Consider the following 26492-nt stretch of genomic DNA (forward strand, 5'->3'; position numbering starts at 1 on the left):
GTTAACAGAGAAGTAGGAGGCTGTGACATGAAATGGGTTTCCACAGGCCTTTGTTGGGAATTGGATGAGAAACAAGAGCTTGAACTTGGATGTTCCCCAGAGCGAGCGCAGGGTCAGATGAGTTTTTCAAGTAGGAGTGATCGGTCTTTCCCGAAGTGGGACCCATAATGAAAGACAATGATTGGTTAATCGGTAATAATTAACTAGGAGGAGAGCACTCTATCTTCCAATTACATGATGATTTGCTAAGTGGCTCAGTGACAAGGTAATTAAGATGAAGAAAACAAATGTAGGAGGCACAGCGTGGGGTGGACAGTCAGCTGTCCGTGTCTTCTGCTGAGATGGCCACAGGACCCCAGGTTCCCCTGCTGTGGCTGGCCACAGGAGTGCTACTCCTTCTCAGTGCCCAGCCCTGGGCTGAGAGTGGGAAGGTGCTGGTGGTACCCATTGATGGCAGCCACTGGCTCGCATGCGGGAGGCCGTGCGGGAGCTCCATGCCAGAGGCCACCAGGCGGTGGTCCTCACCCCAGAGGTGAATATGCACATCAAACAAGAGAAATTTTTCACCCTGACAACCTATGCCATTTCATGGACCCAGGATGAATTTGATCGCCTTGTGCTGGGCCACACTCAACTGTACTTTGAAACAGAACATTTTCTGAAGACATTTTCTAAAAGTATGGCAATTTTGAAAAATTCATCTTTGGTCTTTCATAGGTCTTGTGTGGAGCTACTGCATAATGAGGCCCTGATCAGGCACCTGAATGCTACTTCCTTCGATGTGGTTTTAATAGACCCAATTTACCTCTGTGGGGCAGTGCTGGCTAAGTACCTATCAATTCCTGCTGTGTTTTTTTTGAGGAACATTCCATGTGATTTAGACTTTAAGGGCACACAGTGTCCAAATCCTTCCTCCTATATTCCTAAGTTACTAACGACCAATTCAGACCACATGACATTCCTGCAAAGGGTCAAGAACATGCTCTACCCTCTGGCCCTGTCCTACCTTTGCCATGCTCTTTCTGCTCCTTATGCAAGCCTTGCCTCTGAGCTTTTTCAGAGGGAGGTGTCAGTGGTGGATCTTCTCAGCCATGCATCTGTGTGGCTGTTCCGAGGGGACTTTGTGATGGATTACCCCAGGCCGATCATGCCCAACATGGTCTTCATTGGGGGCATCAACTGTGCCAACAGGAAGCCACTATCTCAGGTCGGTGTTCGTGCCTTCATCCAATCAATGTTCCAGGCAAAACAGTTTTTAAAAATTGTATTTACTTACAATTGCTTCCATATCTACTTATCTTTCTGGTGCTTTTATTTCTGCTTGTCGTAATAGCCTTCAGTGAGATAAACTGTTAAGGGGTCTCTAGTAGCGTATTTCAGGTTTTAAATGGTCAATGAGAGGAAGAAGAGGCAGACATGAATGTTTATCAAAGGATGGACTAGGACTGATGTGACTCATGGAGACTGTTCGTTTGTAAAGGCACCATCTTCATGGTTGTGCATGTCCTTCATTGGGAAGGAGCAGGGACACTACATTGAGACTTGACCCATCTGGATTTTTTGTTTGCACAATTTTCAGGGGAAAGATGATGCAACAGCAAATTACAATTGTTAATGTGATAATTTTTAGTGGTCCTGTCTTGCGAATGATAGAGAGGTGACCACAGGAGACCTAAGCACTCGCAGGAAGTAGAAGTGTTAAAGAGGTTGACTCAGTTCAGTGGAAGTAGAGCAACGAACGTGGGATATATGTCTGTGATTATAGAATTACACACTGAGTTCAGTTTCCAGAGAGGGATCTGTGCTGACAAAAGATTTTTCTGGTCAGGATTTGGGGTCTGGTGCATGATGTGGGGACATCTCAGAGTTCGGAAGGCATAGTTTTGGTTGCAGGTCAATTGGGTCTTCTACTTGGAATGCTGAAATTATCAAGAAATTGTGGAAGGGTCTAGGGAGGAGATAAAACTGTGAGCGTATAAGCCCAGTTAAGCTGGGGACGGTGATGAATGGACATGTGTCCAAGAAGGGAAGTGTTTCTCAGGTGAAGCTGAACATATCACCAAACCCACCCTATCCCACTCCAAGTTTCTATAGTGGGATCTACTTCTTTACCAACAATTTCAAAGGCAGCTTTCTTTAATCCAGAATATTTGGGGTTCATTGATGTGGTACTCTGGGACCTGAATATTGTTTCTTATTCCTTGGTGTGCCATGTATTTCATGAGAGAATTCAGCCTTTTTATGTCATATTCACTGAATGCATATGAACTTCCATGACTTGATCCTTTTGTATTTTTATTTCTGTACTTCTTTTTATTAACATAGGTATTATTGCCAAACACTCTAAGCTTCATTTTTTAAAATCAAACCACATGATTTTTTTATTGGTGATTTTCTCCCTTATGCAGTGTAGTTATTCAATTATAAAATATGTGTTTATTAGATTTGTAACAATGTTGAAAAGTGGGATGGAATTTAAATAGTGACTCTTGCCCTTTTCTTCCAGTTTTTCAATGTGAACATATTCTCTAGTGTTAACTACATTGCTCAAAACTTCACTGTCATCTCAGTGGAGCAGAACGAATTGGGAACTGTGGCACAGATCACTCTTGCTATGCCCCTTAGAGAATTAGAGAACACTAGCAAGGCTAATTTTCGAGTGTGGTAAAGAACAGGCTAATGTATTCAATAGTGAGGCCACTGACTCTGTCTCAACATGAAGTCACACTAGATTTATCATGATTTGGCTCTGTATCCCCCACCAAATCTCATCTTGAATTGTAATCCCCATAATCCCCACGTGTCAAGGACAGGATCTGGTGGGAGGTGATTGGATCATGGGGGCAGTTTCGCACCTGCTGGTCTCATCATAGTGAGTGAGTTCTTATGAGATCTGATGGTTTTATAAGGGGCCATTGTCCCTTCACTTGCAAGCTCTTCCTCTTTCTCTCTTTCATGTAAGACGTGTCTTTGCCTCTCTCTCACTTTCTGCCAGGATTATAAGTTTCCTGAGGCTCCCCCCTCCAGCCACCTGGAACTGTGAGTCAATTAAAGCTCTTTCCTTTATGAATTACCGAGTCTTGGGTATGTCTTTATAGCAGTGTGAGAATGGACTAATATATTAAATTGGTGCCATGGAGAGTGGAGTACTGCTATAAAGATACTTGAAAATGTGGAAGTGACTTTGGAACTGGGTAACAGGCAGAGGTTGGAACAGTTTGGAGAGCTCAGAAGAAGACAGGAAGATGTGGGAAAGTTTGGAACTTCCTAGAGACTTGTTGAATGGTTTTGACCAAAATGCTGATAATGTTGTGGACAATGAAGTCCAGGCTGAGTCTCAGATGGAGATGAGGAACTTATTGGGAACTGGAACAAAGGTCACCCTTGCTATGCTTTAGCAAAGAGACTGGTGGCATTTTGCCCCTGCCCTAGAGATCTGTGGAACTTTGAACTTCAGAGAGATGATCTGAAATTGGAACTTATGTTTAAAAGGGAAGCAGAGCATAAAAGTTTGGAAAATTTGCAGCCTGACCATGTGGTAGAAAAGAAAAACCCATTTTATGGGGAGAAATTCAAACCAGCTACAGAAATACTGGCTATAGAAATTTGCATAAGTAAGGAGGAGCCAAATGTTAATTGCCAAGACAATGGGGAAAATGGCTTCAGTGCACATCAGAGACCTTTGCAGCAGACCCTCCCATCACAGGCCTGGAGGCCTAGGAAGGAAAAATTGTTTTGTGGGCTGGGTCCATGCTCCCCCTGCTGTGTGCAGCCTCAGGACTTGGTGCCCTGTGTCCCAGTGGCTCCAGCCATGGCTAAAAGAGGCCAAGGTAGAGCTCAGGCCATTGCTTCAGAGGGTGCAAACCTCAAGCCTTGGCAGCATCGATGTGGTGTTGGGCCTGTGGGTACACAGAAGATAAGAATTTAGGTTTGGGAACCTCCACATAAATTTGAGAGGATGTAAGGAAATGCTTGGATGTCCAGGCAGAAGTTTGCTGCATGGATGGAGCCCTTATAGAGAACCTCTGCTAGAGAAGGGTGGTAAAGAAATGTGAGGTTGGAGCCCCCACACAGAGTCTCCACTGGGGCACTGCCTAGTGGAGTTGTGAGAAGGCGGCCACCATCCTCCAGAATCCCAAATAGTAGATCCAATAGCTTGCACTGTGTGCCTGGAAAAGACACAGACACTCAATGCCAGCCTCTGAAGGCAGCCAGGAGGAGGGCTTTGCCCTGCAAGCCACAGTGTCCAAGTTGCCTGAGACTGTGGGAGCCCACTTCTGGCATCAGCATGACCTAGATATGAGACATGAAGTTAAAGGTGATAATTTTGGAGCTTTAAGATTTAATGACTGCCCTGCCTGGTTTTGGACTTGCATGGGGCCTGTAGCCCCCTTTTTTTGGCCAGTTTCTCCCATTTGGAATGGGAATATTTACCCAATTTCTGTACCCCCATTGTGTCTTGGAAGTTACTTTTGATTTTACAGGCTCATGGGGGAAGGGACTTGCCTTGTCTCAGATAAGACTTTGGACTATGGACTTTTGAGCTAGTGCTGAAATGAGTTAAGACTTTGGAAGATTGTTGGGAAGGCACGATTGGTTTTGAAATGTGAAAAGACATGAGATTTGGGAGGGGCCAGAGGGCAGAATGATATGGTTTGACTCTGTGTTTCCACCCAAATCTCATCTCAAATTGTAATCTCCATAATTCCCATGTGTTAAGGATGGGACCTGGTGGGAGGTGATTGGATCATGTGTGCAGTTTCCCCCTTGCTGTTCTCATCCTACTGAGTGAGTTCTAATGAGAGCTGATGGTTTTATAAGGGGCTCTTCCTCCTTCACTCACAAGTGAACTCTTCCTCTCTGTTTCTCTCTTGCTTGCTGCCATGTGAGACATGACTTTGCTTATCTCTCACCTTCTGTCATGATTGTAAGTTTCCTGAGGCCTCCCCAGCCATGTGGAACTGAGTCATTTAAACCTTTGTCTTTTATAAATTACCCCGTCTTGGGTATGTCTTTATAGCAGTGTGAGAACAGACTAATACAAGATTGGTGGTGATTGAAGTTATACTGAAAGGGTTTAAAGGAGAGTCTGAGAAAAGGAAATGAATCTGCATTTATTGAGAAAGTTGATGAGAAAGTGGAATTAGAAATTCCTAGAAAGGTAAGCTGTTGTGTGAATGATTTCCCGAGATGGGGAAGTCTCTCTACCTGTTTGGAGACAGAAAGTAGAATCAGAGGAGAAGAAGATGATGGACAGAAAGGATCATTCCCTCTTCTAGATGCTTTCTAGTGTGTGATGTAAGCTGAATTAAAATCAGCTGTGTTGAACTCCAGCCAGAAAAAATATCTGGCATTTTGGTTTTTTGGACCCTACTGTGATGGTCACAGGACTCCAGGTCTCTTGGGGCTCACAGGGTCATGCCTTTCCTTGCCCGGTGTGCTTGGTGAGAAGGAACAAGTGTTTCCATGGAGGAAATTCATTTTAGGGGTCTCAAGAGGGTCATCTTTGCAACAGAGGAAATGCCCCTTTTTCCATTCTGAAAACCTGATTTATCGAACCCTTTTATAAAAGATGAATACCCACATATAGGCCTCTAGCAGTGTTATGTTTTTGAGATGAGACATTTTAAAAAGCGATTTTTCAATTCTAAAAATTCTTTAAATAAAATGCTCTTGCTGGGACAACATAGTGGGTCAACATCATTCCCATCTCTACAAGATTTTTTTTAAAAAAACATTAGCTAGGTGTGGTAGCTGTTGTCTTAGTTACTGGGAATGCTGAGGAGGAAGGATCACTTGAGCCCAGAAATTCATGTTTACTAGTGGGGTATGATCTTGCCTAGGCAACAGCTACAGAGAGAGACCCTGTCTCTAAAACAAACAAACAAACAAACAAACAATAACCAAACAAGCTTTACACTTCTGTAGAAGGAACACTTCCCATTTATGACATCAGTAATCTAGGATATATCAAAATTTGAACTTTGTGTTAGCTTTCAACTGTTAAAACTAGCCAGCGTTGTTACAGATCCACCTCTGAGTGACACTGGTATGCCACTCTTTGCTGACCACTGAACAATGGGATTTATGTAACCAATTGTGTAGATACAAACCCACTCATTCTATCCTACCCAGAGTGGTGATTTACAACACAAAAAACTACCATGAAACTGTTCCCATGCCTTCCTCCCACCTCAAAACTCCTTTTATTCCTGAACGGCTCCATAAGCAAACCCATCCCCAGCAAACTACTCAGTGAGTATCTTCACACATGTAAGTTCCCTTATCCGGATCACTAAAAAATGAACTCATTTTTCAAAAGCCCTGACAGTCTGTCTTATTTTGATACTTCTTGTATAGTTATTATTTAAGAAGCAACTACCCAGGCACCTTGGAGCATGTTGATTTCAGAGTTCAGTGTGAGACCCCGTGTGCCCCTGTGGGATGGTGCCAGCTGACTGCCATTTTCCTGCTGTTTATTACTTGGGTGCCATTCCATGCAGATTGGACTCTGAGGGTACTAGAGCATATCCAAACCCATTGTCACAGTATTTGTTGGTTAATGATGTGTTCAGGCCATGATTTTTCTGTAAAAAATTACCAGCATGCTGCTCTTAATTTTTTTCAGCCTGTCTAGTTGTTGCCCTTTTGCTCTCATGCAAACTTTTCCTCAGAGGTGACCCTAGAAGATGGGACCCTTTGTGATGGACTACCCCAAGGCAATATGCCCCAAAAGGTCTTCATTTGGGGCATAACCCGTGCCAACACAAAGGTACTTTCTCAATTGTGTGTATGGTGCCTCACCCAAACAATATTACAGATGCACTTGGCTTTCATCAACCTAATTTGATATGCCCCAAGCACAGCAATAGGACAGTTTTGCGTGGCCCTTTGGAAACGCTTTTCTTTACATTTCCAGGACCTACCATAGTTGGAGAACCACGTTAGGGCTGAAGACAGTCCTAGTATATCATTGACCAACCACATAACCCCAAGGTCTGTCCTCAGCCTTCAGAAGGAACATGCTTCTTACACCGATTTCAGCTCAGTGATATGGGATTCAAATGTATGACCTCCAAAATATTAAGAGAATAACGTGTGTTGTTTTAAGCCACCAAGTTTGGGTAATTTGTTACAGCCATGATAGGAAACGAATGCATCCACTTTGCCAGGTTTACCTGCTTTTATAAAGCCTGGGTTTAACCTTTTATCTAAATAATGGTCAACTCTTCCTACATCACGAGCATTTATGTGCAATTAAAAGCCATCATTAAATTAAGCCAGAGTATTAATATATTCATAGATTTCACCACCACACAGTAAAACATTGAAGTCAAATGATTTAGAGCAAACCACCTGGCTCACACTTTCCCAACGGAAAAAGGTAAGGCTCAAAGTGCTGAGATGAACATTCTGTCCTAGCACTAGGAAATAATCATTGTCTGCCTCAGGCTTAAGTTTAATAAATAGCAAATTGCATACAGATATTTACAATGATCGAAAGACAAACAGAGGTCCTATCCGTGCAGTCCCAACAATAAAGACAGGCATTGGCATAAAGTGTTTATAAATTCTTGGGTACAGCTGTTCTGAAAGTAAAGTTCACTTTCAATCCTAAAAAAAGTCCGCTATTCCTCCAGATGTGCTTAAAGGCAAATGTGGACTGGAATTACTTGGTGTCAATGGGGAGCAACTGCTCTATGCCGTTTATTATGAAGGACTTTAACTCAACTCTCCATCTTCCTCCACTTCCACCCTTTCTTGGCCATTCTCAATGATTCTCTTGGTGGTGATTTTTTTACCATCAACTATTTCAGTGGAAGTCGACATGGACTTGAAGCTGCCTGTCCCATCACTACCGTAGGACATGCAGAAGGAAGAAAGGCCCCCACTTCCCAGGGAGCCAAAGGAACGAAATCCTGTATCAAAAGAAGAAAAACCACCCTCAAAAGCTGGAAATTCACTGAAGGCAGAGAAAAGGGGTGCAGACCCTCTGCTTCTGCTTCCCAGGGAGTTCCTCTGACCCCCCAAAATATTCTCCAGCGGGTTTCCCAAGAGGTCAAAGGAGAATGGGTCCCGGCCGCCAAAGAACTCCCTGAAGACCTCGGCGGGGTCACGGAAGCTGAAGACCTACTCGAAGGGGTCCTTGAAGGGCCTGCCGCCTGCGCAGCCGCCCTCCGCCCTCGCCTCGCCATAGCGGTCATAGATATCGCGTTTCTACGCGTCCGACAACACCTCGTAGGCCTCAGCCACCTGCTTGAATCTTCTCACCGCTTCCTCCCTGTCCTCGGGGTTTTTGTCGGGGTGCCACTTGAGCGCCAGCTTGCGGTACGCCTTCTTGATACCCTCGGACGAGGCCTACCGGGGTACTCCCAGCACCTCGTAGTAGTCCACTATGCTGGACTGCCAAAGAGCCTGCGGGGCACTGGCACAGCGAGCGGCAAGGCTGCCAGCACCCGCGCACAGGTCAGAGGCTTGGCGACCTGGGCCGCCTGGAGGGCCGCCCCTTATGACGCAGCCACATCTCATTGGCCGAGGCCTGTGAGCGCCTCGCATCCCAAGATGCAGTGCTCCTGGGACTGGCCCTGCTCTCTGTGAGGCTCTGTGAGGCCCTGTGATGCTCCAAGACCAGGCCCCGCCCACTCCGGCCTCCAACCAGCCATGGTCTCCAAAAAGGATGGGAAAAAGAGGTTGGGGAAAAGAGAGGGCCTTGACTTTGGCTGCCTGAAGAACTGTTTTTCTTAAAGTAGGCTTTATATCAGTCTTTTTCCTCGGCCACAGGAGGGAAGAGGGTGGTGGGAGTGAGTTTAGTCTGACCGGGGCTGAAGACATCCTGTTGTTTAGGACTGCGGTTCTCCAACGTTCCAGCCCCGGTGCCCATTTGCTTTTGTTCATCTGGATTATGCCTATCATATGTACTGCATTAGAGATTAAAACAGAATTAAAAAGACATATTCATTGGGCAATTTAAGAAGAATAAACCCATGACACACTAACAAACCTTTTTATGTAACTTTTTTTGAGACAAAATGTAGTGAGAAGAGTGGCATCGTTTTACAGTTTTTGCATCTCTCTCTTTAGTACTTGGCTCTATAGAGAGGTGGATTCTCATGTCAGCTTCTGCATTCTATCTATTGTGATATTACACATCCCCCATGTAGCTTCTGGAAAACTCCACTGTACACTTGTGGGAGAATGACAATGAGAAAATCAAGTAACATTATTACGGAAATAGTTTTGACTTTGTAAAATTCTCCTGAAAAATTACTGGGGATCCCTAGGATTTCCTGGCTCATACTTTGAGAATCGCTAGTCTAGCAGAGTAGTCCCTGGTATTCTGAAGGGATTAGTTTAGGACAACCCTCCTTCCCCATACCAAAATCTAGATGCTCAAGCTCCTTTTATAAAATGACACAGTATTTGTATATAACCTACCCATATCCTCCTTTAAACCTCTAGTCATCTCTTGATTACTTTTACCTAATAAATGTAAATGCTATGTAAATAGTTGTTTTACAGTATTGGTTTTTTATTTGTATTATTTGTACTGTTTTTTTTTCATTGTTGTTCCCCCCAAATATTTTCAATCTGCTGTTGGCTGAATCTGCAGATGTGAAGCCCAAGTATATGGAGGGTCAAATGTGCATGTTATTCACTTTTCTTGACTGCTAAAACAACCAGGGAGATCCTCTCAGACAAAAGGAAATACAGCACTATTTACTGTATCGAAACCATTAAGACTTGCAGGCCGTGTGTATAGCACTGGGGATAAACATGGGATGCAGTGATTATTTCCGCTAGAACTGCTATATAATGACGATGAATTTTGGGGGGACTTTTTTTGAGATCTGAGTTCTCTTCACCTCCTCCTTATTCTCTTTTTGACACTGGATTCTTTGCTTTGATAAATTGTGGGGCAATACACTAGTAAAGGTCACTCAATTCCAAGGGGAAAATGATTAACCAAAGAACATTCTAACGGTTCATAAAGGGTATTAGGTGTAATGAGGATGTGTTATCTCACCAGAACAAACTTCTGAGTTTATATAACCTCTAGTTACATAACCTGAAACCCGGACTTGGCACTTGGTAAGCACGCAATGAACAGTCATAGTAAGCTGGCCAAGGGTAGAGTTCAGTTTGAACAAAGCAATTTGAGAACATCAAAGGAAGTTTGGGGAACAGCAAGGGATCCAGAATGGCTAGAGGGTAAGAGGCAGAGGGAGGGGGCAAGCAGAAGGGCTAGAGAGGAGGAATGAGCTTGGACAGGTGGGCTGGGGTCTATCCCAGAGTTTTGAGAGCAAGGCAGAGGACTCTGAATTTTCTGTGCCCAGGAAGCTGCTGACCAAGGTTCCAGAAGTGGTGGTGAGGTGGGGTTATTCAGGTGGCAGCCGATGCAATGATTCAGAAGGGACAGCTGGGGGTTGGGGGACAGGGGGGCTGGGGCCCTGAAATGGGACCATGACAGCTGGGTCTGAGAGACAGTGGTAGAAACATCCAGATTCAGCACTTACTTGCTGGCTTGGATGCAGGGTCTAGAACGAAAAGAGAAGAAAAGTCACTTCTATACAGAAACATGTCCAGAGCGCTTACTGTCTCCAAAACCATGGACTGGCACCTGAGTGATAGCATGATTCCAAAGCCAAAATCTTGCCTGTAAGGAATATATATATATATATATATATATATGTATATATGATATAGCTATAGTCTAATAGCAAGGACAGATATGCAAACTGCTAAAAGATACAAGGCAGAACAGAACAAAATGCTGTTTTTCTGGGATTTTGGAAATTCAAGGAATTCAAGGGATTCAAGGAAGGTGGCTTTGCTTCCCGGGAGGGTCCTGTAGATGATCTACAGGGCACTGGACATGTTTATGTTGCTCCTTTAGTAATAAGCCTGTCATTCTGATTTGATGAAAGGAGATGAAAGGAGCTGGTAGTGTGTCTGATGGTGGCCTACTAACTTATGTCTTCAGCTTAAAAAGAAAGTAGCTTCAAAAGGGTTCCAGAAACACTTTCCATGGACGTGTCACTCTTTAGCAGCCCCCAAAGCAAGACCATCATATTGCTGCCCTGCTGTGTGATTTCTCAGCCCCTAGAGCACCATCCCCTGTAATTGCCTGGTCATGAGTTTGTCTCTGTCTACCTGACCCCTCCTTTCAGGCAAGGACCATTTCTAACTTGACTTTCTGGGCCTAGTTCCTAGCATAGTGACTGCCATCCAGTAGGGCTCACACGTTCCATAAATATTTGGCAGATGAGGGAATTAGCAATGGGTTCTGCTTTGGTTTCAGAGCAGATATTAATTGGATTGCTTAGTAGTGGTTCTCTGTTGTAATTCATGAGCATGAATGTGGATTGCCCACTATTCAGATTAGTAAGTATTTCTTGGTCAAGGGCAGAGCTGTGGCCACAAACCATCCAGGTACACAGCAGAAGCAGCCTCAAAAAGCTTGGAAGCTCTGCATGATGCAGGAAAGTCATAAAATCATTACAGTGGTGACTTATGTGTTTATAGCCCCTTTACTGTCTATAATCTGCAAATGAACTCACACAGCATTGGGACTTTGGAAGAATTATCACCCTTAAGGTTTAAATTAAACTGTGAATTTCAGAATTTCTAATAAGGACACAACAAAGAGTGAAAGCATTGCTATGTCTATTCTGCTTGCCCAGAATCTTGGTCCTAAAAAATGAAGAGTGTTTGGGTGTGGGGAGGAGCTTCAGTGTGCATGTGCATGCAAAGTACCTACTCTAAGGAGAAGAATGAGAGGGTACCCTAATTACCTGTTAATATGTCCCATAGGACACCAAAACTCTAGTTAGCTGTTTCTCTATGATCCTCTAAGCACATCCCCAAGTATGGCTGGCCAGTGATGTGTATGGTTCAAATGTTGGGATCTGTGCAGTTATCTTGGAATTGTATAGTACAGCAGTATATCCCCCCCAAAAAGAGTGTAATACTTCCAATTCTGGCTGCACAATACTTGCCCCATAGTCCATGGTCAATAAATACAAATTTGAGTTGTTTTTGCTCATCTTTCCCTTTTGACTTCAAATCAGTCATCAGAATTTCCCCAAATGCCTTTCCCCTGGATCTTGGGCCAGTGGAATGAGTACAATTTAACTTAATTGAATTTGCTTATCTATTTGGTTTCCTGTTGTGAACAAAAGTTCTCTGAAAAGGAATTTGGAAGAAAGAGACTTTGTTCTAGTGAACAGTTTGCAAACCAGGGAGTTACAGCCTCTGGTACGCAATGAAGGTGAGTTCCACAGAACACAAGGCAGGCAGGTTTCACGGCAAAAAGTTCCTTCCCAGGTTCCCAATCAGGTCCATTTATGCAAATGAAGGATGGAAACTTGCTTAGTTCTTATTGGTCACTGCAGCTGCATTCTGATTGGTTGATGAAGCTGAGCCCTGAGTGGCTGAGGTGGGTGAGCTTTAATTGGTTGGTTCAGGTGAGCGCTGAAAATCTCAACTATAAAAAGGTACAGGTTTTCAGGATACTCAGAGTAACCGTGTGACCTGTAGTAAGCAAAGGGCCAGTTGGCTCTATTTTAAATCCAGGCCCAGTTAGCCACTCAAGATCTATCTTACAGGACTGGCTCTTTCAGGTTCACACTAATAAAGGCCTGTCCTTGGGGAAGACTTCTGTTCACATGCGCTCCAGTGAATTTCCCTTTCTGGTCATTCTCTACCCCAGCACGCCCCCCACCCCCGACCCGCCCCACCCACCCACCTGTTCATTTCCTTCTTAGCATGCTTCACGATTTCTAAGTTCCTGCTCATGTGTTTAAATTGTGAGTCTGGCTCACCTCATGGCGCGTGCTCGTGTGGTGGGCTCTGCTGCAGCCTCAAGACCCCACACTGTGCTGGACTCAATAAATATTGTTGGACGAAGGAATGAAACACATGATACAAGTGAGCAGGCAGTACCGGGGGAGCTGTGGAGTGGGCACTCTTACAGGTTTCCATGGCGAAAGCGGGGGTACAGTTGTGTTCTTTTCTTTCTAAAAGGCTTTCTAAAAAGCCTTCTGTTTAATTTCTGGAAAAGAAGCCTAACTTGTTCACTACATAGTCGTCCTTCTTCCTCTCTGGTAACACTTGTTGGTCTGTGGAAATACTAATTTAATGGATCCTGAGGTTCTGGAAGTACTTTGCTGTGTTCACTCAAGAATGTGATTTGAGTATGAAATTCCAGCCAGTTCAACTGTTGTTGCCTATTAAGAAACCTAATAAAGCTCCACCTTCTTTATCTCTGAAAGTGAACTCCCTGCTACCTTTGTGGACTGACAGCTTTTTATAGTCACGTGACACAGTCAAACATTAACTTGGTGTATCGATTGGTTTTTGCCATATATATATATATAAGTAGGAGAGGGCGAACCTCTGGCAGGAGCAAAGGCGCCATGGCTGTGGAGTCCCAGGGCGGACGCCCACTTGTCCTGGGCCTGCTGCTGTGTGTGCTGGGCCCAGTGGTGTCCCATGCTGGGAAGATACTGTTGATCCCAGTGGATGGCAGCCACTGGCTGAGCATGCTTGGGGCCATCCAGCAGCTGCAGCAGAGGGGACATGAAATAGTTGTCCTAGCACCTGACGCCTCGTTGTACATCAGAGACGGAGCATTTTACACCTTGAAGACGTACCCTGTGCCATTCCAAAGGGAGGATGTGAAAGAGTCTTTTGTTAGTCTCGGGCATAATGTTTTTGAGAATGATTCTTTCCTGCAGCGTGTGATCAAAACATACAAGAAAATAAAAAAGGACTCTGCTATGCTTTTGTCTGGCTGTTCCCACTTACTGCACAACAAGGAGCTCATGGCCTCCCTGGCAGAAAGCAGCTTTGATGTCATGCTGACGGACCCTTTCCTTCCTTGCAGCCCCATCGTGGCCCAGTACCTGTCTCTGCCCACTGTATTCTTCTTGCATGCACTGCCATGCAGCCTGGAATTTGAGGCTACCCAGTGCCCCAACCCATTCTCCTACGTGCCCAGGCCTCTCTCCTCTCATTCAGATCACATGACCTTCCTGCAGCGGGTGAAGAACATGCTCATTGCCTTTTCACAGAACTTTCTGTGCGACGTGGTTTATTCCCCGTATGCAACCCTTGCCTCAGAATTCCTTCAGAGAGAGGTGACTGTCCAGGACCTATTGAGCTCTGCATCTGTCTGGCTGTTTAGAAGTGACTTTGTGAAGGATTACCCTAGGCCCATCATGCCCAATATGGTTTTTGTTGGTGGAATCAACTGCCTTCACCAAAATCCACTATCCCAGGTGTGTATTGGAGTGGGACTTTTACATGCGTATATTCTTTCAGATGTATTACTTTGGATCGATTAACTAGCCCCAGATATATGCTGAGCAAGCATTCTGAGATAATTTAAAATGCCCTCTTTTGTTAATTTTTGACTCCTAGGTTTGAGTCTGTCTTTGGCATCATCTTCTGGATGATTTCTTGGTATCTGAGATTTCGGGAAAGCATTCCTTGGACATTTTACTCTGTGTGCTCCAGTGGATAGTAATCAATTAGAAACAACAAGCTGTTAAATGCCATAGGCACAGAATGCTGGGTTTGGGGCACCCTGCAGAAAACTCAGTTGAAGCCTGCACCTTGCCCTGGATTCAGTCAGGCAGGCAATGTTCAGGACTGATGAAATCATTCTTTGATGATGATAGATCCTGGAAATGAAAGTTGCCTTTGTGACCCTGGTTAAAGCTCCAGTTTCTAAATATTCTGATAAGAAGCTAAATCCTGCAGTCCGTTCTCTTCTAATGAGTGAATCACCAGACAGTCAGGTTCTGACATGATACAGAAAGGTTGTAGGTTTCATTCTCAAGCTATTAGGTTTATTTTTCCCCTACAGAGTTTGAAGTATGCAAAAAGTAGCATTCACATCCTCATCGAAATCTCAGCAGAGGATAGAAAAGAACAGGAGAGGCTCCTTCAGATGGAGCGTTAGGGAATTACTCTTTGAGGAGGTGACATTTCAGAGAGCGTTCATTCACTTATCCTGCAAAGATTGGCTGAGGATCTACTGGCAGCCCAGGCACTTCCCAGGTGCTGCGTCTGGCTCCCATTAAGGGGACTGATATCACCTTCGGAGGTGACCTTATTTCCACTATACCTCCAATGTGATTTGTATTTTATTTTTTTTAATTTTCTGTGCATTTTCCTTCATAGCACATCAAATATGGCAGCCATTTCACTTAGATAGTTGTTGATTGTCCGCTTCACATCATGAGCCATGTGGGGACCTGTGTGACTTTGCATTAATCACATCCACTGTATGCGGCGTCCTCAACACCTGCCAATGGGTCTGCATGTATTTGGCGCCCCATAAATCTCAGCACCTAAGGCACAGAATAGGCACCCACCGAATATGTGTTACATTAATGAATGAGAAGAAAGGTGCCAACCGAGGTCTAGTTAATGGGTCGAGAGTAATCCACAATAGCTCTTTTTAGTTCTTTGTACTCCAGCTATTACATACCAATATGTATATAGAAACATATGTAAAATTTTTTGGTTGCTTTTTCTACAAAATAGAGTAACAGTGTATTCCCACTGCCCACTTACCGATAATGTCATGGATATCACTCCAGTTTTAAATGCTATTACTTTTTAAACTATGAAATAGTATTTCATGGTACTTGTGTACCACAGTGTATTCTGCTGGAGATCTAGTCTAGTTCCCCACAGAGGAACATTACAATTTGTATTCCAGGAGTTTTGTTGTTGTGACCTCAAACACTTCCTTTAAAAAGATAAGCTATTTTGTAGTTTAAAAAACATTTGTTCTGTTTCTTTCTCATTCATCTTTTCTTAAGTATTTTACACGGTTTTTTTTTTTTGGTCACTACTGTGAATGTGTTATTTTTTTGCATTTCTATCTCTAGCTGATTATCTACTCATTACTCAGCTATCTCATCAAAATATTGATTTTCATAATAAAAAATAATAGGCAGTCATTTGCTGATAAAGAAATTTTGGTTTCTTCTCTTATAAATTCCATGCCAAATATCAGGGCTATTGAATTTATTAGAATCTCTAAAAACAGTTGAATAATTCTGGCAATAGGAAAGATGCCCGTCTTGCTGCTATTTTAGTGGAAATTGATTATCATTTCATTATTTTGCATTATGTTAGCCATTGTTTTCTGAACAGGCTTTATTGATTTAGATAATTTCCTTCTTTGCGTGAGGATGTTTGTAGGAGAGGCACCGAACTTTATCAGCTGCCTTTCTGGCATTTATTGATATAACCATAAAAGTCTAAGTGGTGAACTGTGTTGACTACATATTTGTTGTTGCCTTGTTTGGTGCAGTCAGGCTTAGGTGTGAAAATATGTTTTTAAATTGTACCTTTTAGTAACCTGTTTTGTCTTGTTGCATGTTTTAATCTGAAATTCCACTTTTTGGATATTAATATTACCACTTCTGTATTATTTTTGTTTACATTTCCCTAGCACATCTTTAGTACTCCTTTGTCTTCAAGCTTTCTTCCTTTTTAAACAACATGGCACTGGTATTTTTAATCCAGTCAGGCAGTTGCTTTAATAAGTGCATTTTGCCTATTTGAATCTAACAATTAATAGATTTGATTGTAACTCTCTCAGTTTACTTTATGTTTAGTTGACTTTGCCATTCTCCTTTTTCCGGATTTCTACTGGTTGGTCAAGTTACTGTTCTTATTTTCTCTTTCTTCCTTTGTTAACTAAAAATGCCACTCTGCACTACCATTCCTCTTGTGTTGATGGTCCTATTCTCAATACTCTTGATAAAACTCCTGAACTTTAAGAATAAAGATAAAACTTTTATTGCACAAAGAAGTCCATAGAGAAAGCACAACCTGGCATTGGCGTGTCTTTGGTGTGTCTGAAGGAAAAGAGATAGTGGAACAACATTGGGAGAAAAGGAATGAAACTCAAGAATTCCAAGATGTTCCTCCCCTGCCAGGGTAAGATAGCAGTGGTTCACAGACAATCGCAATGCTGGGTCTGAGAAAAATAACTAAACAGAAGATTAGTGAGGACCAAGGCTTCGAGATGGCCAGGAGAGGAAAGCTTGGGAGCAGGGAAGGTTGAGATATATGTGGGTTACTGGGAATGCGTGATGGTGAAGTCACAGATGACCCACATGGTGTCTAAGTGCTAAAGAAGAATTCTGGGAAAATGAAATGCATTTGGGAAGGGAAAATCTAATTAAAAGCCTAAACTAAAAATACAAAATTCTTGGTAAAGTTTAGGAGTTATGTTAAATGTCTCATTTTGGCTGGTGAAGTCTCATCAGAACAGGGAAATTCTCTCATTCAGGGGCATCTCATCTTTTCTTTGAAGGGAATCAATGGTGGGGGATTGGAGTGTTATTTTCAGTTAATATGTTGCTTCACTCTTTGGTCATTCCGGTAACTGTGAAGTCAGGGTGAAGTTTAAGGGAAGCTTTGCCAAGTAGGGGATGGACTTCACCTTTATTGAGCCTCATAGTAGCTGGCTCAGGTAGGAGTTGGCCGTGATGACAACTTCTCTGCAGTTTGCCCTGCGTGAATCTCCAGATGAACTTTTGTGCCATTTAAACTTTCGTGATCTCCTGCTATTTAACTTCGAATGTTTATGGACCTGTGGGTTCAATTTTGTGTGAATCACATCCTGCTGATTGCTGAGTGGGCGTGTGGGAGGGTGTGCCTGGAGGAGAACTTAGACTCGGCCTTTTCCAGATGAGCTTCAGTGTAAGAGTGGGTTTCATGAAGAGCAAAGGTCCTAGGAAATTTAAGTAAGCCATTTACCAACGCTCAGAAGAAAGAACTTGAAGAGCACTTGGAAATGAGCTGTGTCTCCCCAAGAAAGAGGGAGAGAAAGAGGGGAGAGATGTGGTGCAGACCCTAGGGAGGAAGGAGTTCAGAAAAACCATCCTCAGGGTGTTCTTGCTACAAACCAAAAAATGCAGCATGGTGGTGGGGAGGATGACTCTGTCCTCCCTGACTTTTAGATGAGCCCAAGGGAAAAGGCAAAGACAAAGCCCTTAAGAGCCAGAGGACTCACGAGGGCCTGGGGCTGGTGAGAGTGGCGGGGAGAGAGGGCTCACCTTGGGAGAAGGATGGTCAGTGTCTGGGGCTTTCCTGGTCATGTTCCAAATCAGGCTTGGCAGGAGTCCTGCTGTGCAAATTGCGTTTGCTGAGCCCTGTCAGAGGTCTCCTGTGTCTCACATCTAGGGTGACCAGCATCCTGGCTTCCTCAGGACTGTTCAGGTTTTAGCACTGAACATCACATGTCCTAGGGAACCCCTCAGTTTGGGCAAGCCCTGCCACATCACACAATCATATTAGTGCCCTCAGTATTCTTTGCAAACATAAAACCATAGACTCAGTAATCCCATTACTGGGTATATACCCAAAGAAATATAAATTATTCTACTATAAAGACACATGCACATATTTGTTTATTGCAGCACTATTCACAATAACAAAGTCATGGAACCAACCCAGATGCCCATCAATGGTAGATTGGATAAAGAAAATGTGGTACATATACACCATGGAATACTATGCAGCCATAACAAGGAATGAGATCATATTCTTTGCAAGGACATGGATGAAGCTGGAAGCCATCATCCTCCACAAACTAACACAGGAACAGAAAATCAAACACCGCATGTTCTCACTCATAAGTGGGAGTTGAACAGTGAGAATGCGTAGACGCAGGGAGGGGAACAACACACACCAGGGCTTGTGGCGGGGTGAGGGGTGAGGGGAGGAACTTAGAGGATAGGTCAATAGGTGCAGCAAACCACCATGGCATATGTATCCCAGAACTTCAAGTAAATAATAATAATAATAATTAATAATAATAATAATAATAAATAAACCCATAAAGCCATTTGAGAGATTCTTGGGGGATTCATTGGACCACTGAAAATCTACAGTGAGAAAAGAATTGCCATGTTGATGAAACAGGAAAACTTTCCTTGTCCCCCTCACAGAGCATGTGACAGCGGGAGGGGCTCACTTTCTCAGTGCGCCACTGCTCAAACCTCTAGGGGAGCATACAGACGGGCAGGTTGTGGGGCTCTGACCTCACCGGCAGTGTCTAGAGGTGGATGTTTACAGCTCCTGAAGCTCCAGTGGGCGTGGGTTATGGCCTTCTTTTAGTTTTGCCCTCTATAGTCAGCTTGTGTTAACCAGCTCAATTACACCCTCTACCTTGTCGCAAGGACAGAGGGCTTTCTGTATCCTGGGGGCTTGCCTTGGTGTACCAGAAGAATCGAATCCCACCTGGGCTTGGAGAATGAGTGCAAGGATTTATTGAGTGGATGTAGCTCTCAGCAGATGGGGGAAGCCAGAAGGGGATGGAATGGGAAGGGTTTCCCCTGGAGTCAGACCGCTCAGTGGCCCGGGCTCGGTGGCCCGGGCTCGGTGGCCTGGGCTCTCCTCCGACTGCCTCAGCCAAACTCCGCGTTGTTCTGCTGGTCAGTGGCCTGCCGGTGCCTGTTGGTGAGTTCTTCTCAATGTCCAGCTGTCCTTGCGTCCCTCCGCTGATGTGCTCCTCCCGATGTCCAGCTACCTGTGTGTCTGCCTGCTAGGGTCTTGGGGTTTTTATAGGCACATGATGGGGGCGTGGCAGGCCAGGGTGGTTTTGGGAAATGAAACATTTAGGCAGGAAAACAAAAATGCCTGTCCTCACCTAGGTCCATGGGCACAGGTCTGGGGGTGGAGCCCTCGCCAGGGACCACACCCTCTTCTACCCAGCACTTCCCTTCCCTACTTCCATATCATTTAAAGGGACCACGCCCTTCCCAGCTCTTCCCTTCTGTATCACTGATGCCTTGCTCTGTGTTCTCTAAGTGGAATTATCACTGTGTGTATGTACAGGTGTGTGCATGTGTGTGCATGTACCTGTGCTTTTCTTTTGGAAAACTAGCACATTACCTGGATTTTGCATCTCAAGGATAATTCTGTAAGCAGGAACCCTTCCTCCTTTAGAAGGAAGTAAAGGAGAGGAAAATGCTGTAAAACTTACATATTAATAATTTTTTACTCTATCTCAAACACGCATGCCTTTAATCATAGTCTTAAGAGGAAGATATCTAATTCATAACTTACTGTATGTAGTCATCAAAGAATATGAGAAAAAATTAACTGAAAATTTTTCTTCTGGCTCTAGGAATTTGAAGCCTACATTAATGCTTCTGGAGAACATGGAATTGTGGTTTTCTCTTTGGGATCAATGGTCTCAGAAATTCCAGAGAAGAAAGCTATGGCAATTGCTGATGCTTTGGGCAAAATCCCTCAGACAGTAAGAAGATTCTATACCATGGCCTCATATCTATTTTCACAGGAGCGCTAATCCCAGACTTCCAGCTTCCAGATTAATTCTCTTAATTGGAACCTTAGATTTGGCTTTTCCCTGCCACTTCCCAACTATTAATCCAAAGGTTTTTTTTGTTGTTGTGGTTGTTGTCATTGTTTTCAATTTGACTCTCAAATACTCTATTAAACTATGATCCACCACACTCAGAAGTATCATTTTCTCTAAGAGACTCAAAAGTGTATTAGGGAGAATTTATTTAAAAATAAAATAAATGGGATATTGTTTCTTCATATTAAATAGAAGTATTTCTCCAAAAAGCTGTTGGTTAGAACACTGAATTTATGTCTTACATTTCTGCTCTTATAGTTCTGCATCCACTTGTTTCATTAAGCAAACTTTCCCTTAAAGTGCAGGAAAGTGAAAAAATCCTAAGTGCACAGCTTGATAAATTATCACAAATTCACGTAGTGCATACACCCTTGTAACTAAACCTCCAAAACAAGATGCCGGAAGTTGCCAGTCCTCAGAAGCCTTCACAGTTACTGATCCTCCCACTCTGTTAAAGACTGTTCCTTCAGAGGACCCCTGTTTTCTAGTTAGTATAGCAGATTTGTTTTCTAATCATATTATGTTCTTTCTTTACGTTCTGCTCTTTTTGCCCCTCCCAGGTCCTGTGGCGGTACACTGGAACCCGACCATCGAATCTTGCGAACAACACGATACTTGTTAAGTGGCTACCCCAAAACGATCTGCTTGGTATGTTGGGCGGATTGGATGTATAGGTCAAACCAGGGTCAAATTAAGAAAATGGCTTAAGCACAGCTATTCTAAAGGATTGTTGAGCTTGAAAATATTATGGCCAACATATCCTACATTGCTTTTTATCTAGTGGGGTATCTCAACCCACATTTTCTTCTGCAAATTTCTGCAAGGGCATGTGAGTAACACTGAGTCTTTGGAGTGTTTTCAGAACCTAGATGTGTCCAGCTGTGAAACTCAGAGATGTAACTGCTGACATCCTCCCTATTTTGCATCTCAGGTCACCCGATGACCCGTGCCTTTATCACCCATGCTGGTTCCCATGGTGTTTATGAAAGCATATGCAATGGCGTTCCCATGGTGATGATGCCCTTGTTTGGTGATCAGATGGACAATGCAAAGCGCATGGAGACTAAGGGAGCTGGAGTGACCCTGAATGTTCTGGAAATGACTTCTGAAGATTTAGAAAATGCTCTAAAAGCAGTCATCAATGACAAAAGGTAAGAAAGAAGATACAGAAGAATACTTTGGTCATGGCATTCATGATAAAATTGTTTCAAATATGAAAACATTTACGTAGCATTTAATAGCGTTGTTTCAAATATAAAAACAAATACATAAAAATCTGGATTTTTATTTCTTCTTTTTTTTTTTTTTTTTTTTTTGAGATGGAGTCTTGCTCTGTCACCTAGGCTGGAGTGCAGTGGTGCAATCTTGGCTTACTGCAACCTCCACCTCCCACGTTCAAGCAGTTCTGCCTCAGCCTCCGTGTAGCTGGGATTACAGGTGTCCACCACCACGCCCGGTTAATTTTTGTATTTTTTAGTAGAGAAAGGGTTTCACCATGTTTGTCAGGCTGGTCTTGAACTCCTGACTTCAGGTGATCCACCTGCCTCGGCCTGCCAAAGTGCTGAGATTACAGGCATGAGCCAGCGCGTCTGACCTGGATTTATAAATAAGATAATTTAGAGGTTATTATTCACTTTATAAAAGGATTCTTTAGTTTCTATATAATTTATCATATAATTTATTTAGAATTTTATTTCCCCCATTAGATTTAAAACTCCAATTTACATAAAAAGTTGCCATAATAGACATCTGATCCATAAGTTTCCTGCACAGAAAGAAATACTCCATTATAAGAAGCATAGTATCTTTAAGAGAAAAACAACTCAAATGCTTAGAAGTACAGCTTTTTGCAGCACTGGAACCTGTGAGAAATTTTGTCCATGGAGTTTATGAATGAAGGAGCTATAAGATATCACAGACAAAGTCTTAGAATAAGAGCAAAGGAAAATTTGCTCAAATGTGGCCCTGAAAACGATTCAAAGGGCAAATGATTTCTGGATTAAAGTTAGTATATTACTGTCAAGCTCACTGGTAATAGGCTTATTAGAACCTTATGGGAAGAAGTGGTGGCCAGTGGTAGATTTCATCCGACAATAGATACTGTGTGCATATGTGCGTGTGCGTTTGTGCATGTGGCTGTGCTCATGTGTGGGTGCACACGTGTGCATTCATATGCGTGTGTGTGTGTGTGCGTGTGTTTATGAGAGTGTCCATTGCTTTCTCCCATGGTTACCTCCTTTAGAAAGAAGCAGCAGTCAGGAAGACAGATGTGAAGAGCTGGAGCATGTTCAGATGAGAGGAGACGGAACACGGGGACACACCAGCTTGAGCAAGGGACAACAGGGGAGGACTGATGACTGACTTCCCACCTTTGAGGTGCTAATGTGTGTGTGGTGGCACTGGATAAAAGATCAATGTTGGCTAGGCACCATGGCACACGCCTGTAGTCCCAGCCACTCTGGAGGCTAAGGCGGGAGGATTGCTTGAGCCCAGAAGTTGGAGGCTGCTATGAGCCGTGATCATGCCACTGCACTCCAGCAACCTGGGCAACAGAGTGAGACCCTGTCTCAAAAAAAAAAAAAAAAATGAAAAGTCCACATAACCTGAGCATCATGTGCCCAGAGCGTTGGGTGGTGTGGTCCCATTCCTTCCTTCCAGCGGCTTCTTCTGGCCACCTCAATGTCAGGATGTCCTGCTCACATATCAATACCATTAAAACCTGACTTCTTTCCCTGCACTGTTGAAGCTCCTTCTTGAGGCTCACATTATGGATATAATTTTGATTCTTTCTTCAGTGGTATAGATAACTACTTGTAACCTAAGAACAACTTGGTGAAAGTCCTCTAATACATTATTTTTTAAAAAAACACAAATCAATGAGCTCAACTTATTAACTAACTTTCATCTATTCATTTTTGAGCCATCCCTGTCTGATTGTGAATCTCCATGATTCCAACACTCTGAGCTGGGGATAGTGCCTACACAAAATAAAAAGAAGTGGAAAATTTTCAAACATCAGTTTATGCTGACAACCAGGCCATAATAGGTGCTCAATTACTATTGAATGAATGAATGAAAGTTCTGGCCAGGTACGGTGGCTCATGCCTGTAGTCCCAACACTTTGGGAGGCCGAGGCAGGTGGATCACTTGAGGTTAGGAGTTCGAAACCAACCTGACCAACATGAAGAAACCTTATCTCTACCAAAAAAATATAAAAAAATTACCCAGGCATGGTGGTGTATGCCTGTAATCCCAGCTATTTGGGAGGCTGAGGCAGGAAAATCACTTGAACCTGAGAGGCGGAGGTTGCAGTGAGCTGAGATTGTGCCACTCCACTCCAGCCTGGGCGACAGAGTGAGACTCCGTCTTACTTAAAAAAAAAAAAAAGAAGGTTCCAAGAAAATTCATCTTAAGGTTTATGTAAAAGGAAGATGATATTTAACATGATTCATGGCCAAGTACTAATATTACATTATAATAATGTTTCCAAATAACATTATAGATATGTTTAAAGACAGTGTATTAGGCTGTTCTTGCATTGCTGTAAAGAAATACCCAAGACTGGGTAATTTATAAAGAAAAGAGGTTTCATTGGCTCGTGTTTCTGCAGGCTGTACAGGAAGCTTAGTGCTGACATCACTTGGCTGCCGGGGGAACCTCAGGGAGCTTTTACTCATGGCAGAAGGCAATGCGGGAGCTTGCATGTCACATGGCAAAAGCAGGAGCGAGAGAGAGTTGGGGGGGAAGGTGCCACACACTTTTTAATGACCGGCTCTCACAATAACTCATGAAAACTCACTATCAGGAAGACAGCACTAAAGCACAAGGGATCCGACCCCATGATCCAAACACCTCCCACCAGGCCCCATCTCCAGCACTGGGGATTACAATTCAACATGAGATCTGAGTGTGGACAAATATCCAAACTGTATCAGTCAACAGCGATCATAATTAGTCCTGAATAGGAGTGCCTTTTTTTTTCTTTCTTCTCCCTTTTCTTTTCTACTTCCTCCTCCTTTTCCCTCTCCTCTTCAATCTCCTCTTCATTCCTGTAGCACCAAGGGTTGAAGCACCTAACCCGTTTTGGATTGAGATGTTCTGATTGGGCAATGAACACTGTCCAGAATAAACAGAAATCCATTTTGCACTAAGTGGCTGCACAGACCCTGCCTCATGCTAAATCTAGCACCCAGATAGTTTAATGTTTCAATGACTGAATTACAAATATATCATCACCTTGGATTTGGCACTTACAAATGGCTGTTAATTTGGCCAGAGGTGGTTGTTTACAACTTCAAATAGGAGACTATTCATAATTTCTGACGTGACATTTTCCTTTCTTTATTTTACTGTATGAAAATATAATGAAATTTCTCACAAAATATCACTAAAAAGAAAAGAAGAAGAGTAGGAAGCAAGGTTAAAATATTTCTAAAATATAATTTTGGTCTTTCTTTTTCTCCCTTCCTTCCTCCGTCCCTCTCTCCTTTCCTCTCTCCCTCCCTCCCTCCCTCCCTTCCTCCTTTCCTTGCTTCCTTCCCTCCTTCTCTTCCTTCTTTTTCAAGAGATCAATAACATTTATTAAGAATAAGTTTCTTAATTATAACCTTTCAGGTGATAATAGTAACACAGCCTGGGCAACACAATAAGACCTTGTTTCTACAAAAAATTTAAAAATTGGCCAGACATAGTGGTGCATGACTAATTCCAGCTACTCTGGAGGCTGAGGCAGGAGGATGGCTTGAGCCCAGGAGTTGGAGGCTGCAGTTAGCCATGCTTGTGCCACTACACTCCAGCCCGGGCAACAGGGCAAGACTCTGTATCTAAAAACAACAACAACAACAATAATAGAAACAGGTTTCCTTTCCCAAGTTTGGAAAATCTGGTAGTCTTCTTAAGCAGCCATGAGCATAAAGAGAGGATTGTTCATACCACAGGTGTTCCAGGCATAACGAAACTGTCTTTGTGTTTAGTTACAAGGAGAACATCATGCGCCTCTCCAGCCTTCACAAGGACCGCCCGGTGGAGCCGCTGGACCTGGCCGTGTTCTGGGTGGAGTTTGTGATGAGGCACAAGGGCGCGCCACACCTGCGCCCCGCAGCCCACGACCTCACCTGGTACCAGTACCATTCCTTGGACGTGATTGGTTTCCTCTTGGCCGTCGTGCTGACAGTGGCCTTCATCACCTTTAAATGTTGTGCTTATGGCTACCGGAAATGCTTGGGGAAAAAAGGGCGAGTTAAGAAAGCCCACAAATCCAAGACCCATTGAGAAGTGGGTGGGAAATAAGGTAAAATTTTGAACCATTCCCTAGTCATTTCCAAACTTGAAAACAGAATCAGTGTTAAATTCATTTTATTCTTATTAAGGAAATACTTTGCATAAATTAATCAGCCCCAGAGTGCTTTAAAAAATTCTCTTAAATAAAAATAATAGACTCGCTAGTCAGTAAAGATATTTGAATATGTATCGTGCCCCCTCTGGTGTCTTTGATCAGGATGACATGTGCCATTTTTCAGAGGACGTGCAGACAGGCTGGCATTCTAGATTACTTTTCTTACTCTGAAACATGGCCTGTTTGGGAGTGCGGGATTCAAAGGTGGTCCCACGGCTGCCCCTACTGCAAATGGCAGTTTTAATCTTATCTTTTGGCTTCTGCAGATGGTTGCAATTGATCCTTAACCAATAATGGTCAGTCCTCATCTCTGTCGTGCTTCATAGGTGCCACCTTGTGTGTTTAAAGAAGGGAAGCTTTGTACCTTTAGAGTGTAGGTGAAATGAATGAATGGCTTGGAGTGCACTGAGAACAGCATATGATTTCTTGCTTTGGGGAAAAAGAATGATGCTATGAAATTGGTGGGTGGTGTATTTGAGAAGATAATCATTGCTTATGTCAAATGGAGCTGAATTTGATAAAAACCCAAAATACAGCTATGAAGTGCTGGGCAAGTTTACTTTTTTTCTGATGTTTCCTACAACTAAAAATAAATTAATAAATTTATATAAATTCTATTTAAGTGTTTTCACTGGTGTCGCATTTATTTCTTGTTAAGTTGCATTTTCTAATTACAAAAGT

At 43.2% G+C, this 26492-nt stretch overlaps 9 protein-coding genes, 2 pseudogenes and 1 further gene across 13 annotated transcripts in view, besides 1 other annotated feature; 11 read left to right on the forward strand and 1 right to left on the reverse strand.

Annotated features, from left to right (window-relative positions):
- UGT1A (UDP glucuronosyltransferase family 1 member A complex locus) overlaps positions 1–26427 on the forward strand; it is a 187861-nt gene extending 161434 nt beyond the window's left edge.
- The window catches only part of UGT1A8 (UDP glucuronosyltransferase family 1 member A8), a 155668-nt gene extending 129240 nt beyond the window's left edge, over positions 1–26428 (forward strand). The window contains exons 2-5 of the mRNA NM_019076.5: positions 20162–20293; positions 20977–21064; positions 21348–21567; positions 25390–26428. Coding sequence (NP_061949.3) covers positions 20162–20293; positions 20977–21064; positions 21348–21567; positions 25390–25687 — 738 coding nt within the window. The 3' untranslated portion in view covers positions 25688–26428. The remainder of the gene's footprint in view (positions 1–20161; positions 20294–20976; positions 21065–21347; positions 21568–25389) is intronic.
- The window catches only part of UGT1A10 (UDP glucuronosyltransferase family 1 member A10), a 136853-nt gene extending 110425 nt beyond the window's left edge, over positions 1–26428 (forward strand). The window contains exons 2-5 of the mRNA NM_019075.4: positions 20162–20293; positions 20977–21064; positions 21348–21567; positions 25390–26428. Coding sequence (NP_061948.1) covers positions 20162–20293; positions 20977–21064; positions 21348–21567; positions 25390–25687 — 738 coding nt within the window. The 3' untranslated portion in view covers positions 25688–26428. The remainder of the gene's footprint in view (positions 1–20161; positions 20294–20976; positions 21065–21347; positions 21568–25389) is intronic.
- Positions 1–26428, forward strand: part of UGT1A9 (UDP glucuronosyltransferase family 1 member A9) — a 101403-nt gene extending 74975 nt beyond the window's left edge. Inside the window, exons 2-5 of the mRNA NM_021027.3 lie at positions 20162–20293; positions 20977–21064; positions 21348–21567; positions 25390–26428. Coding sequence (NP_066307.1) covers positions 20162–20293; positions 20977–21064; positions 21348–21567; positions 25390–25687 — 738 coding nt within the window. The 3' untranslated portion in view covers positions 25688–26428. The remainder of the gene's footprint in view (positions 1–20161; positions 20294–20976; positions 21065–21347; positions 21568–25389) is intronic.
- Positions 1–26428, forward strand: part of UGT1A7 (UDP glucuronosyltransferase family 1 member A7) — a 91400-nt gene extending 64972 nt beyond the window's left edge. Inside the window, exons 2-5 of the mRNA NM_019077.3 lie at positions 20162–20293; positions 20977–21064; positions 21348–21567; positions 25390–26428. Of these exons, the coding sequence (NP_061950.2) occupies positions 20162–20293; positions 20977–21064; positions 21348–21567; positions 25390–25687 (738 nt within the window). The 3' untranslated portion in view covers positions 25688–26428. The remainder of the gene's footprint in view (positions 1–20161; positions 20294–20976; positions 21065–21347; positions 21568–25389) is intronic.
- Positions 1–26428, forward strand: part of UGT1A6 (UDP glucuronosyltransferase family 1 member A6) — an 81599-nt gene extending 55171 nt beyond the window's left edge. For both annotated transcript variants that reach the window (NM_205862.3, NM_001072.4), the window contains 4 exons: positions 20162–20293; positions 20977–21064; positions 21348–21567; positions 25390–26428. In NM_205862.3, the coding sequence (NP_995584.1) occupies positions 20162–20293; positions 20977–21064; positions 21348–21567; positions 25390–25687 (738 nt within the window). In that variant the 3' untranslated portion in view covers positions 25688–26428. The remainder of the gene's footprint in view (positions 1–20161; positions 20294–20976; positions 21065–21347; positions 21568–25389) is intronic.
- UGT1A5 (UDP glucuronosyltransferase family 1 member A5) overlaps positions 1–26428 on the forward strand; it is a 60394-nt gene extending 33966 nt beyond the window's left edge. The window contains exons 2-5 of the mRNA NM_019078.2: positions 20162–20293; positions 20977–21064; positions 21348–21567; positions 25390–26428. Coding sequence (NP_061951.1) covers positions 20162–20293; positions 20977–21064; positions 21348–21567; positions 25390–25687 — 738 coding nt within the window. The 3' untranslated portion in view covers positions 25688–26428. The remainder of the gene's footprint in view (positions 1–20161; positions 20294–20976; positions 21065–21347; positions 21568–25389) is intronic.
- The window catches only part of UGT1A4 (UDP glucuronosyltransferase family 1 member A4), a 54565-nt gene extending 28137 nt beyond the window's left edge, over positions 1–26428 (forward strand). The window contains exons 2-5 of the mRNA NM_007120.3: positions 20162–20293; positions 20977–21064; positions 21348–21567; positions 25390–26428. Coding sequence (NP_009051.1) covers positions 20162–20293; positions 20977–21064; positions 21348–21567; positions 25390–25687 — 738 coding nt within the window. The 3' untranslated portion in view covers positions 25688–26428. The remainder of the gene's footprint in view (positions 1–20161; positions 20294–20976; positions 21065–21347; positions 21568–25389) is intronic.
- UGT1A3 (UDP glucuronosyltransferase family 1 member A3) overlaps positions 1–26428 on the forward strand; it is a 44259-nt gene extending 17831 nt beyond the window's left edge. The window contains exons 2-5 of the mRNA NM_019093.4: positions 20162–20293; positions 20977–21064; positions 21348–21567; positions 25390–26428. Coding sequence (NP_061966.1) covers positions 20162–20293; positions 20977–21064; positions 21348–21567; positions 25390–25687 — 738 coding nt within the window. The 3' untranslated portion in view covers positions 25688–26428. The remainder of the gene's footprint in view (positions 1–20161; positions 20294–20976; positions 21065–21347; positions 21568–25389) is intronic.
- UGT1A2P (UDP glucuronosyltransferase family 1 member A2, pseudogene) lies at positions 267–1668 on the forward strand (annotated as a pseudogene).
- On the reverse strand, positions 7444–8473 carry LOC100286922 (DnaJ heat shock protein family (Hsp40) member B3 pseudogene; annotated as a pseudogene). Of its 3 annotated transcripts, none has more exons than NR_037696.1 (2): positions 8272–8473; positions 7444–7919 (listed from the first exon to the last, which is right to left on the reverse strand). The product of NR_037696.1 is annotated as a DnaJ heat shock protein family (Hsp40) member B3 pseudogene, transcript variant 3 (transcript). The 3 variants fall into 3 exon arrangements; NR_037695.1 differs by having other exon boundaries at positions 8135–8473; NR_037694.1 differs by having other exon boundaries at positions 7444–8473.
- Positions 12835–13009: a silencer, noted in NCBI's record as "fragment chr2:234668353-234668527 (GRCh37/hg19 assembly coordinates)". NCBI's record gives its function as "represses an EF-1alpha promoter that drives an FKBP-Casp9 reporter gene in an ReSE screen in phorbol 12-myristate 13-acetate-treated (for megakaryocytic differentiation) K562 erythroleukemia cells {active_cell/tissue: K562(+PMA)}" and the evidence as "EXISTENCE:reporter gene assay evidence [ECO:0000049][PMID:32094911]".
- On the forward strand, positions 13398–26428 carry UGT1A1 (UDP glucuronosyltransferase family 1 member A1). Its single transcript, NM_000463.3, has 5 exons — positions 13398–14279; positions 20162–20293; positions 20977–21064; positions 21348–21567; positions 25390–26428. Exons 1-5 carry the CDS (start codon positions 13416–13418, stop codon positions 25685–25687), a joined length of 1602 nt encoding a protein of 533 aa, NP_000454.1. The 5' UTR covers positions 13398–13415; the 3' UTR covers positions 25688–26428.

The sequence above is a fragment of the Homo sapiens genome, chromosome 2, assembly GCF_000001405.40.
Source record: "Homo sapiens chromosome 2, GRCh38.p14 Primary Assembly".
Lineage (NCBI taxonomy): Eukaryota > Metazoa > Chordata > Mammalia > Primates > Hominidae > Homo > Homo sapiens.

Coding starts and splice junctions, on each gene's coding strand:
- UGT1A1 (NM_000463.3), top strand. CDS start 13,416: ATGGCTGTGGAGTCCCAGGGCGGACGCCCACTTGTCCTGGGCCTGCTG. Junction 14,280..20,161: donor ACCAAAATCCACTATCCCAG/GTGTGTATTGGA, acceptor TTCTGGCTCTAG/GAATTTGAAGCCTACATTAA. Junction 21,568..25,389: donor GCAGTCATCAATGACAAAAG/GTAAGAAAGAAG, acceptor CTTTGTGTTTAG/TTACAAGGAGAACATCATGC.